The 12,820-nt window shown below is 41.5% G+C and overlaps 1 long non-coding RNA gene across 1 annotated transcript in view; it reads left to right on the top strand.

The window, feature by feature from the left end:
• The first annotated feature begins 507 nt into the window (after positions 1-507).
• Positions 508-12,820, top strand: part of LOC107984238 (uncharacterized) — a 55,035-nt gene continuing 42,722 nt past the window's right edge. The window contains exons 1-2 of the long non-coding RNA XR_001747468.2: positions 508-584; positions 2,652-2,779. This is a non-coding gene — a long non-coding RNA (uncharacterized LOC107984238). The remainder of the gene's footprint in view (positions 585-2,651; positions 2,780-12,820) is intronic.

Here is a 12,820-nt window from a genome sequence, read left to right as displayed (position 1 = left end):
GGGAACCATGAGAAGAGAAATCACTCTAATTGTTTAGGATTCATTTTGAAAAATAAGGAGAAGCCTCTGAATGACCTCTGTGGCACAGGAAACAGTTTGTGCTTTTGGAAGAAATCCAGTAGATGTCAGAGCTTAAAGAAGTTTGGAGATCATCTAGTCTTATCTTTCCATCTTAGAGATAAAGAAATGAAGGCCAGAAAGGGTATCTAGTTTGCCCTGTGCTAAGTATTTGGCAGAGTTAAACTAGAAATAGTCTTCTAACTCCCAATCCAGCTTGCTTTTCCTTACTGCCTCCCTTTTCTCTGTGTAGGTCCAAAACAAATCCTTTCCTCACGGATTTATGGCAATGGTCCTCCTGGGATGAATAGAATATACTGTTACTTCTCCCTCCCTGAGAAGTTCTTCCCAACCCATAAAGTTTTTCCCAAGCTGACTAATGCTTTGCTTGGTCAGAATTGTTTTTGAGCCATCGTTCTAAATATCATCTCCCAGCTGAGTGATCTGAGACTCAAACTATTCATACCCACTGACATTACTGTGTTACTCCCGGGACTGCAAGAGCCAGCCTGGCCTGTGTGATGGAGGTTAGTGACTCACTGACCAAGTATCGTACAAGGGAATATGATCTCTCAGAAGGGCTCTAGGTTTTGATGTTAGGTGGCATATAAATCTCTCTGTATCTCAGTTTTCTTGTCTGTTACCTAGGGACAAATATTTATTTAAATTTTCTAAGACTGCAGACATAAAAAATAATTGTTAATGGTTTTAATCTGATTTCATAGACACAACTTTGATTCTTCAAGCAGGAAGCAGATCTTAAAAATTATCTAGTTTATTTCCTCTTTTCACCAGAGAGGGGAAAAAAAGATAAGAAAGATTTTGATTTGTTCAACATTACCCAGCTGGATGGTTTTAGAGTTGGAAAAACTGAGCCTTTTGACAAGCAGTTCACTGCTTTTGGCTCTATGCCCTGCCCCATTGCTCACCCTATTCAGAGTTCTTTATAAATGGGACTATCTAGAATTTGTAAAATAATATACTCATATCGAGTCTTGGTGAGATCCAAGATAGTGGTCTCCTATGCTATCAAAACAGTTATCCATCTCCCCCCAAATTAATGTTGTTTTTTGTAAATTATGTGGTAAGCCATACCATATAATTTCAGATATAGAAACATATTGGGGGTCATCTCCTACAACCTAACAATTCTGAGATGGTCAAGCTGGGTCATGATGAACAAGGAAGTGAGGAAGAGGAGGAGCTCACTGTACTAAAATTGTGCTTTATAAAGCTGGAGCTTCACCAACACATAGAGGCAGTGCTAACTCCTCCTCTCCAAGTTCTCCTTCTACAAGGGAAGTTAGTAGACCCTCTCCTCTCCACTTCCACACGTAGCACTCAAACTTCAGGTTACTTTTTGGTGATTTGCTTCAGGCTCCTAATCACCTGACAATACCTGGATGAAAGTGACAGGTGTGGAGAAATAGACCCAAGGCCTCAAGGGTCTAACTCGCCACTGGCACTGGTCATTCGTTGGTACTTGCCTGAGGGCTGTTCCCCTCAAAATCACTCAGCTCTGATATTCTCTTGAAGTATAACTTCTACTTTACCAGCCTCTGCTGTGCTGTGCAGGAAAACAGCTTAAAATAACACAACTGGAAATGGATTCTGAAGGACCCAGAGGTTTGCAACTGGGGTGAGGGGAAGAAGGAAGCCAGGAAGAGAGCAGGACAGTTGCTAGCTGTCCATGGAGACTTTGGGAAGAGCAGGGTAGTATAGAGTGGAAGCGCCTTGGAGGAGACAGGAGGAATTACACTATTTCCCCATTGCTACATTGGGCTCAGAGACCAGCACTGCTTCTTAAACCACTCTCTGGACAAAACGATAACAACATTTCAAAATAAGAAAAGAAGGATTCTTCTCCAAGACAGGAGTCATTTCACAGGCCTGAAGCCAGACCACACTGAAGCTCCATCTGCAAAACTAATGGTTTTCCCTGACATTTTAAACAGCACAATTTAATGGCTCAGTGTTTCATTTGACATTTAAGAAGTTATCCATCTCCAAGAAGTTTATTGGCAAATCTTCTCCATTTCAGGAATTAGCAATATGATGTGCATATGAACACATCTACAAGAGGGGTCCAAAAAGCATCTTTGCAAAGGAAGCCCAGGACACGGTGAATGAATTGTTACTCATGCAGAGCAAGATCAGCCCCTTACCTCAGGCCCTGCCAGTGCACCTTCGTAAAGCACTTCCCCTTTCTGTTAACCAGCCTCCTCACAAGAAGAAAAATCATAGTCCCTGCTTTAGTAAACTGTTGTAGTTAAGAAGATGGAAAGAGAGAGGATTAAATGACTTGGTTCAGGCAGTGAAGAAGCAGGTATTCAGGAGCAAGACTGGCTGTGTTAGAATTGTGGCTACTCTGCTGCTTACAAGCTGTGTGACCTTGGGCACATTGCATAACCTCTCTTTGGCTTGGTTTTCTCGTTTCCAAAATGGGGATAACAATAGTACCTATCTCAATGAGTTGTTAAGATGATTAAATGAGTTAATATTTATAAAGTTCTTAGAACAAGCTGACAGAATAAGTGCTGTAAAAGTATTTGTTAGCAAATCATAAATAACATATGTGTATTAACTTTTTTCAGATCATTTGTGTACTCATTCTCACTATATGTGACTCAGGCTGAAGTCAATCAATGTATCGCATTTCTCCTGGCCCCGGTGATTGCTTTGTGGATGGCACCACGGTCTCAATCAGAGCCAACAGGATGATGTGAGTCTACTTCTGGGATTTCTGGGAAGGAGATATTGGTTCTTTTTTACTGGACTTAAATCTTAGAGGATACAGAGCCTAGAGCAGCTTGCAACCATCTTTTAACTATGAGGGAAGAACCTATCCGAGAATAGGAGAGTGGAACAGATCCATGACAGAGAAATCATGCTCTGTTGATGTTATTTGGGCTGTTGGACCGTGGGATGCCTGAAACCAAACCTTCTAGATTTCTCAATTACATAATTACTCCATTTACATTTTTCCTTTTCCTTAAATGAATGTCTGCTGGGCTTTTCTTGAGGTTGTTGTTTGTTTGTCTGTCTTTTAATCACTTGCAACTGAGAGACAACAAACTGGTGCAATTTACAACATGTCTCCAAGCCCGCAGTAAGTATTGTGGCCAAGGCAGAGGTATTGTTGCTGAGGCAGAGGCGATAAGATGGTCTCCGCACTCAGGGAGCATGGACCTTCCATCTTAGAAATACAAAAAAATTGTACCCTCATCAGCACTGAAAATATCAAGTTCTGGCTTTGTGATTTTTTTAAATCAGGTCAATTCACTTTTCCCAGTCTCAGTTTCCTCACCTGAAAACATGGAGACCGGACTAAGTAATCCTTATGAACTCTTTCAGCTTAAAATTTTATAACTGTGACTTAAATTAAGTTCTCCTTGGCTACCTTCAAGATTTCTCTGAAGCTCAGTTTTTCCATTAGCTACAAGGCCAAGGAGAATAATTTCAAAAGAACGATTTGTTTGTTTTCTGGTTATTGGACATTTTTAAGGGGAAAAGTGGAAAGGAGTGGAGTGGAGTCAACCTGGTGATGATTTCTATGAGTTTTTGTTTGTTTGTTTTGAGACGGAGTCTTGCTCTGTCACCCAGGCTGGGGTGCTGGGGTGCAATCTCAGCTCACTGCAACCTCTGCCTCCTGGGTTCAAGCGAGTCTCCTGTCTCAGCCTCCCGAGGAACTGGGAGTACAGACGCACTCGACCACATCAGGCTAATTTTTGTATTTTTAGCAGAGACAGGGTTTCACCATGTTGGCCAGGCTGGTGTCGAACTCCTGACCTCAGGTGATCTTCCCGTCTCGGCCTCCCAGAGTGCTACGATTATAGGCGTGAGCCACTGCGCCCGGCCAATTTCTATGAGTTTTTAACAGCTTGTCTTGTTTCACACATCACAATTGGAGTCCAGCACCTCCTTTCATGTAGAAAAGATGCAGATTAGGTTAAAAAATACTTAGGAAGCATTGCCAGTTCAGAAGTGAGCAGAACTTTATGGCAGTTCTCTGCAGTCAGCACAGAGAGCCGAATACAGAGAGGATCATCTAGCCATTATCCACTATGATAGCTGTTTCTCTTCCTCTTAGCCCAACATATTCCATACTATCCCAGAATGATTTCTGCTGCATGGAAGCATTTGTATAAATGGGGAGGAAAGGACAGGGAACTGTGATACTCAATGCAGAATGTCTTTACAGAATAAAAGATGTGATAAACCCTGTTACCTAGAGAGCAGTTAGCAATTGACCTTAGTTATTTAGAACATAATTAAAGATTGGAAGAAGAGGAAATTTTTGATCAAGCCAGATAGAAGCCTCCTCATCCAAGGACTAAAGAACATATGCATGATTCATAAGAAAGATCTTCAAACTATTCAATTCAAATTTAGACATGACTCAAATAATTGATTTTCTCATTACCCAGGCCATCACAAAATAGAAACAGTAGCTTAATTAAAATGTGAGGCTACGGCTGGGTGCAGTAGCTCATGTCTGTAATTCTAGCACTTTGGGAGATCGAGGTGTGTGGATCACTTGAGGTCAGGAGTTCAAGAGCAGCCTGAGCAACATAGCGAAACCCCTGTCTGTCCCTACAAAAAATACAAAAATTAGCCAGGCATGGTGGTGCACGCCTGTAGTCCCAGCTACTTGGAAGGCTGAGGCACGAGCATCGTTTGACCCAGGGAGATGGAGGTTGCAATGAGCCGATATTGCACCACTGCACTCCAGCCTGTGCCACAGAATGAGACTCCTTCTCAAAAACAACAACAACAACAACAAAACCGTGAGGCTAAGTACTAGAAATGTACTGAACTGGCAGCCAACAGAAAAGAGAAGGCAGAAAAAGTATTAAAAGAAATCAACATAAGTTAAAATAAAAGCCACCCTATGGTCATTTATATATATACTTCAATTACACTTGCTGAAGTGCATTACTTTTATTTGTATTTAATTGACACAAAATGTTTACTATATGTCAGGTGGTTTTGTTGTTGTTATTGTTGTTTTACAAAAACTACATCATTTAGTCTTTATAAATAACTGTATAAAGTACAGGCCGGGTGCAGTGACTCACACCTGTAATCCCAGCACTTTGGGAGGCCAAGGCAGGCAGATCACTTGAGGTCAGGAGTTCGAGACCAGCCTGGCCAGCATGGCGAAACCCTGTCTCTACTAAAAATACAAAAATTAGCCAAGAGTGGTGGGGTGTGCCTGTAATCCCAGCTACTTGAGAGGCTGAGGCAGGAGAATTGCTTGAACCCAGGAAGTGGAGGCTGCAGTGAGCCAAGATCAGGCCACTGCACTCCAGCCTGGTGACAGAGCAAAGCCCTGTCTCAAAAAATAAAAAATAACTGTCTAAAGTACAAAGAGGCTAAATAACTTGCCCAAGACCATACCACGCATTACTGGCAGAGCCAGGATTCAACCCAGGTGGTCTAGTTCCAGAGTCTGTTTGCTGCACTACCAGGCCAGGCTGCCTCACCTGACAACCCTTACAGCATGAAGGCCGGTTACCATTCACTATTCATGATGACTGCCATCAATAAATGGGAGAAGGGATACCAACATATTCTGTTCAATAATGCCAGGAAATAAAAAGTATCTTCTTCCAAGGTAATGATGTCAATACTACTAATGTCATAGTAGTGTAATAACATTATTAATATGTGGCCTTTGGGATAACTGGAAAGTCCAGTGACCTGATTGACTTCTCATTCCCTATTAATAAAAGATAAGTAAAAATAGCAATTTTATAGTTCAATTTTTTTTCCATTCTAAGCAACAAACATTATCTTGGACTTCTATATTGAAATTTGCTTACTGTATCAGTTTGTTCTCATGCTGCTGATAAAGACATACCCAAAACTGGGCAATTTACAAAGGCAAGAGGTTTAATGGCGAACTCATAGTTCCATGTAGCTGGGTAAGCCTCACAATCATGGCAGAAGGCAAGAAGGAGCAAGTCACATGTTAAGTGGGTGGCAGCAGGCAAAAAGAGAGCTTGTGCAGGGAAACTCCCATTTTTAAAACCATCAGATCTTGTGAGACTCATTCACTACCATGATAACAGCACAAGAAAGACTCACCCCCAAAATTCAATCACCTCCCACTGGGTTCCTCCCATGACATGTGGGAATTGTGGGAGTTACAATTCAAGATGAGATTTGGGTGGGGACAGAGTCAAACCATATTATTCCATCCCTGGCCCCTCCCAAATCTCATATCCTTACATTTCAAAACTAATCATGCCTTCCCCACAGTCCCCCAAAGTCTTAACTCATTTCAGCATTAACTCAAGAGTCCACAGTCCAATGTCTCATCTGAGACAAGGCAAGTCCCTTCCGCCTATGAGTCTGTAAAATCAAAAGCAAGTTAGTTACTTCCTAGATACAATGGGGGTACAGGCATTGGGTAAATACAGCTATTCCAACTGGGAGAAATTGGCCAAAACAAAAAGGCTACAGGGCCCACGCAAGTCCAAAATCCGGCGGGGCAGTCAAATCTTAAAGCTCCAAAATGATCTCCCTTGACTCCATGTCTCACATCCAGGTCATGCTGATGCAAGAGGTGGGTTCCCATGGCCTTGTGCAGCTCTGCCCTTGTGGCTTTGCAGAGTACAGCCTCCCTCCCGGCTGCTTTCATGGGTTGGCACTGAGTGTCTGTGGCTTTTCCAGACACATGGTGCAAGCTGTCAGTGGATCTACTATTCTAGGGTCTGGAGGACAGTGGTCCTCTTCTTACAGCTCCACTAGGCAGTGCCCCAGGAGGGACTCTGTGTTGGCTCCAACCCCACATTTCTCTTCTGCACTGCCCTAGCAGAGGTTCTCCATGAGGGCCCTGCCTCTTCAGCAAACTTCTTCCTGGACATCGAGGTGTTTCCACACATCCTCTGAAATCTAGGCAGAGGTTCCCAAACCCTAATTCTTGACTTCTGTGCACTGGCAGGCCCAACATCATGTGGAAGCTGCCAAGGCTTGAGGCTTGCACCCTCTGAAGCCATGGCTTGAGCTCTACATTGGCCCCTTTCAGCCATGGCTGGAGTGGCTGGGATGCAGAGCACCAAGTCCCTAGGCTGCATACAGCATGGGGACTCTGGGCCTGGCCCACAAAATAACTTTTTCCTCCTAGGCCTCTGGGCCTGTGATGGGAGGGGCTGTCATGAAGACCTCTGACATAGCCTGGATACATTTTCCCCATTGTCTTGGGGATTAACATTCACCTCCTCATTACTTATGCAAATTTCTGCAGCTGGCTTAAATATTGCCTCAGAAAATGGGATTTTCTTTTCTATTGAATTGTCTGGCTGCAAATTTTCTGAACTTTTATGTTCTGCTTCCCTTATAAAACTGAATGCCTTTAACAGCACCCAAGTCATATCTTGAATGCTTTGCTGCTTAGAAATTTCTTCCACTAGATACCCTAAATCATCTCTCTCAAGTTCAAAGTTCTGTAGATCTCTAGGGCAGGGGCAAAATGCCACCAGTCTCTCTGCTAAAACATAACAAGAGGCACCTTTGCTCCAGTTCCCGACAAGTTCCTCATCTCCATCTGAGTCACTTCAGCCTGGACTTTATTGTCCTTATCACTATCAGCATTTTGGGCAAGCCATTCAACAAGTCTCTAAGAAGTTCCAAACTTTCCCACACTTTCCTATCTTCTTCTGAGCCCTCCAAACTGTTGCAACCTCTGCCTGTTACCCAGTTCCAAAGTTGCTTCCACATTTTCAGGTATCTTTTCAGTCTCTAAACATCAAGGCAAAAATCTCACAACCAAAGAAGAAAAATAATTAAGTTGTAGTCACAGAAAAAGTTGCTTAAAACTCAATCCCTTCCTTGTAATGAGATTTATGATTATCAGATAAAATATTAAATCCACCCTATATAGTAATATAATTTAAATGCTTAGATTTGGGCTATGGAAGTAGAGAATTGATAAAGAATATGAAAAAAGTTCGGCTCTTGCCATCTCTTTATTTATGGAGTAAATAACTACTTGAAATTCTCTGGAACATTTTGTTCATATCATCAGATTTACACCACCCTTTTTACCCCTGTATGAAATTTCATTCCTAAACCACTAATTGTAGGGTTGGCTTTATTTGAAGTTTTAGGAGTAGCTCTCTGTGTGTGTGTGTGTGTGCGTGTGTGTGTGTGTGTAAGAGAGAGGGAGAGAGAGATAGAAAGAGAGGGAGAGAGAGAGAGAAAGAGAGAGAGGGAGAGAGAGATTGAGTTTATATTGTGTGTGGCCAAAGAAGGAATTATTTACTTCTTTAAAAGAAATATCAATAATGTGCAGCCAAGACAACAGCCAAAGGAAGAGGAAGCCCAGTCCTGGCCAGAGAAAGTAAAGCCAAAAATAATCTGGCTGGAGGAAGGAAAGACTACAGAAATGATGAAGCTAGTGAGTGTTCAATGCTGAGAACATTTAACCTTTCATTATTATCACATGTGGATTTCCTGTAAGCTCTTCAAGACTCAAATGTGACCCATGTTCACACATATGAATTGAGGAACTGGTTCTAACACATATGTTCTAATTGCTTCCTTAAATTTATGTCTCTTTATTTTATCAGTAATTTTTATTTTATTTTTATTCTTATTTTTTTTTGAGATGGAGTCTCGCTCTGTCGCCCAGGCTGGAGTGCAGTGGTGCAATCTCCACTCGCTGCAACCTCCACCTCCTGGGTTCAAGCGATTCTCATGCCTCAGCCTCCCAAGTAGCTGGGATTACAGGCATATGCCACCACAGCCTGGCTAATTTTTGTATTTTTAGTAGAGACGGGGTTTCACCATGTTTACCAGGTTGGTCTTGAACTCCTGGCCTCAAGCAATCTGCCCACCTCAGCCTCCCAAAGTGCTGGGATTACAGGCGTGAGCCACTGTGCCCAGCCATTTTATCAGTAATGTTGAAGTGATATGAAATCTGCCTCCTCTTATTGTATCAATTTTTAAAAATTGTTTTATACTTGATATATTTCTTGGTTTATATTTCATACTATTCTCAGTCTACATTTTTCATTTTGACTCAATACAAAATCATAGCCATTTTTTTTTTTGAGACAGGTTCTCGCTCTGTCACCCAGGCTGAAGTACAGTGTCACAATCACAGCTCACTGCAGCCTCGATCTCCCAGGCTCAAGAGATCCTCCTACCTCAGCCTCCCAAGTAGCTGGGACTACAGGCACTCGTGCCACCACACCTGGCTAATTTTTGTATTTTTTGTAGAGACAGTTTGGACACATTGCCCAGACTGGTCTTGAACTCCTGGATTCAAGTGATTCGCCTGCCTCAACCTCCCAAAGTGCTTTGATTACAGGCATACACCACCACGCCTGGCCCATGGTCATTCTTGAGTGATCAAGCAACTTTGAAATTTTAACCTCGGGCCAGGTGCAGTGGCTCACACCTGTAATTCCAGCACTTTGGGAGGCCCAGGCAGGCGGATCATGAGGTCAAGAGATCGAGACCATCCTGGCCAACATGGTGAAACCCTGTTTCTACTAAAAATACAAAAATTAGCTGGGCATGGTGGCACATGCCTGTAGTCCCAGCTACTCAGGAGGCTGAGGCAGGAGAATTGCTTGAACCTGGGAGGTGGAGGTTTCAGTGAGCCGAGATTGCCCCACTGCACTCCAGCCTGGTGACAGAGTGAGACTCAGTCGAAAGAAAGAAAGGAAGGAAGGAAGGAAGGAAGGAAGGAAGGAAGGAAGGAAGGAAGGAAGGAAAAAGAAAGAAAGAAAGAAATTTTAACCTCAAGTGCACAGGATGGAATTAATCATATCTTTTATTTTATGGCACCCTATATTTATTGGTTCATGCAAGGTCCTTCTTTTCATCACCATCCCCTTTCTTCCTTTATCTCCAGCCCCAACTGTAGCACTTGATGTCTTTGATATATGTATTTAAATAACCAGTTATCCTTGTGAAGTGCATACTGTTACTTTGTGTTAAAATGCATGTTCTAAATTTATGTTAATGACATTGTACCATAGAACCAATTGTTCCTATTTCTTTCACTATATCATATGTTTTTAAGATCTGTCTACTTTGCAATATGTGCATCCAGTTTGGTGCTTCTAATAGTTGAATGACACCCCATGGTAACCATCCAACACAAATTACCTAGCCATTCTCCTGGTATGGTTCACTAGGCTACTTCCACCACCAGCACCCCTACCACCGCTATGAATAATACTGGGATAAACATTCCCATATATTAGTCCTCTGTAAAAATAAAATAAAATAAAATAAAAGTCACGGACTGTTTCAGAGTCCTAGGTGTAACACTTTCATTTCATAGCCAAAGATCCTACATTGCAAGGAGTTAAGAATTTTGTAGCTTGCAGCCAAAGGAGAAAAATCATCAAATTTCAGGACATAACTAATAGGGACAGGACCAGGACTAGTTTTCTCCACTCTGAGCATACTCTGGATCACTCAACATACTCACCAGGCTTATAAGACGCAATCTTTTTAAATTAAATAAATTTCATCACACAGGTATTGAAAATGGGCATTGATGTGGCTTCAGATAATCCAGTGTGCTAGATCTTAGAAATCAAAGTTCCGAATATGTTACTATATTCTACTAGCTGATAAAAAAGGATAAAATCGCAAGCCAAGAGGAAATACAGTGGCATCAGTGCACACAGGTACATAGCAGGCTGCCATTATACAATGTATTTATAACTAAAATGCTGGGGAATTACCCAAACTCTACCTTCAACCACCTGTGGGGTCTGCTATTTTTGTTAGGAAATCTCCTAAGGGATATGAGGCTGGTGTTTTGGGGGAGCTGCTCTGTGCTTCTGAGCTCACCCCTGGGGCCTCATTTGTCATTGTGAACCTTCTGCACTAGGCACTGAAAAGAGTCATTTTTGGAACCATTGGTGGGAGGTAGGGGTAATAGAATGCAAATACCTGGGTCCCCTTGGACAGGCTGCTTAACTTTTATGAGACTTTGTTTCCTCATCTAAAATCTGAAATTTGGTATATAACTGACAATGAATAAAAGGTATCATTTTTCTTCATACTTATTTTTAGCTAACGTCTATATGTTCCATTATACATTATAACAAATGTGAGTTTAGTTTTTAGTTATGATATAAAAATGAAATACAGATTTCTTTATTTTCTGCATTACACAGATTCTCACTTTGTTGATCACTCTTAAAATTAGTGAAATAATGTGTATGATGTGTGCAGAGGCAGATTTACCTTAAAGCTAATGAAGCCATGAGTTCTGGAAGTTGTTGGGAGTTATAGAGTATTCTAGGTGGGGAGAGGAAGACAGACTGTGCTTGGAAACATTACTATATGTGTTTCTGATAAATTGCCTAAAAAGAACTCAGAAGAAAGGGACCAGAATTCTAAATCTTCATAATATGTTGTGAAATTTTTTCTATTCTTTTTTTTTTTTTTTTTTTTTTTTGAGACGGAGTCTCACTCTGTCGCCCAGGCTAAAGTGCAATGGTGCAATCTTGGCTCACTGCAACCTCCACCTCCCTGGTTCAAGCGATTCTCCTGCCTCAGCCTCCCGAGTAGCTGGGATTATGGACACCCACCATCGTGCCTGGCTAATTTTTGCTAATTTTTGTAGAGACAGGGTTTCACCCTGTTGGCCAGGCTGGTCTTGAACTCCTGACCTCAGGTGATCCCCCACCTTAGCCTCTCGAAGTGCTGGGATTACAGGTGTGAGCCACTGCGCCCAGCCTATTTTTTCTATTCTAAATATATACATATATTTTTTATTTTATACTTAATTTTATATTTGTAATTTGGGGTCCTTTTTTTTCAAAAGGGACCCCTTGAATTACTTCAGACTTTACAAAACCTAGTTTTGCCCTTCAATGTATATAACATTGTAATTTAACATTATGAACAAAAACACATAGATAAATTTCAACTTTTCACACAGAAAAGATTTCTGGGCAGAAAAGTCTTCTAAATTAAATCCTTGGATAAGTCACTCTCCTTTCTGGGCCTTAGCTTTCTCATCTTAAAACATGTAGATTTGACTGGCCCCATAAGACCTTTCCAACTCAGAAAATCCTAACTTCATCATACCTGTCTTGCCATACTTTCAACAATATAATAAATAATATTTTAAATGAACTCCATAGTGAATCCTCATTTTAAAAAAAAATTAAGCCTTCAGTAGTGTAAATAATTATACCGACCCTCCAATTAAGTATTCATTTTGTAAATGTAAATGAATGAGAATGATTCTTTTTTTTTTTTTTTTTTTTGAGATGGAGTCTTGCTCTTTTGCCCAGGCTGGAGAGCAGTGGTGCAATCTTGGCTCACTGCAACCTCCGCCTCCCGGGTTCAAGCAATTCTCCTGCCTCAGCCTCCCAAGTAGCTGGGATTACAAGCGCACGCCACCACGCCAGGCTAAATTTTGTATTTTTTTAGTGGAGATGGGGTTTCATCAAGTTGGCCAGGCTGGTCTCAAACTCCTCATGTTGTGATCCGCCTGCCTCAGCCTCCCAAAGTGCTGGGATTACAGGTGTGAGCCACCGTGCCTGGCCAAAAAAAGTTCTTAACCTAAAGCATGCTAGTTATAGCATTTCACTAGAGAACTCATTTGCTTTATAAGGATGGGAACGTTTCTTCTACTAAGTCTAGTTGAAACTGACTGATAAAACTACATGCTGATTTTCATTTAAATCACTTCTTGAAATAATCCATTCTGAAAGAGGAAGAGGTATTTTTACAGTCCCAATGAGATCAACTAAAATCTCTGTGTTAATCAAATTGT

Source organism: Homo sapiens, chromosome 10, assembly GCF_000001405.40.
Source record: "Homo sapiens chromosome 10, GRCh38.p14 Primary Assembly".
Classification (NCBI taxonomy): domain Eukaryota; kingdom Metazoa; phylum Chordata; class Mammalia; order Primates; family Hominidae; genus Homo; species Homo sapiens.
Note: the sequence above shows the minus strand (reverse complement) of the source record. Positions and strands in the feature narration are given on the sequence as shown.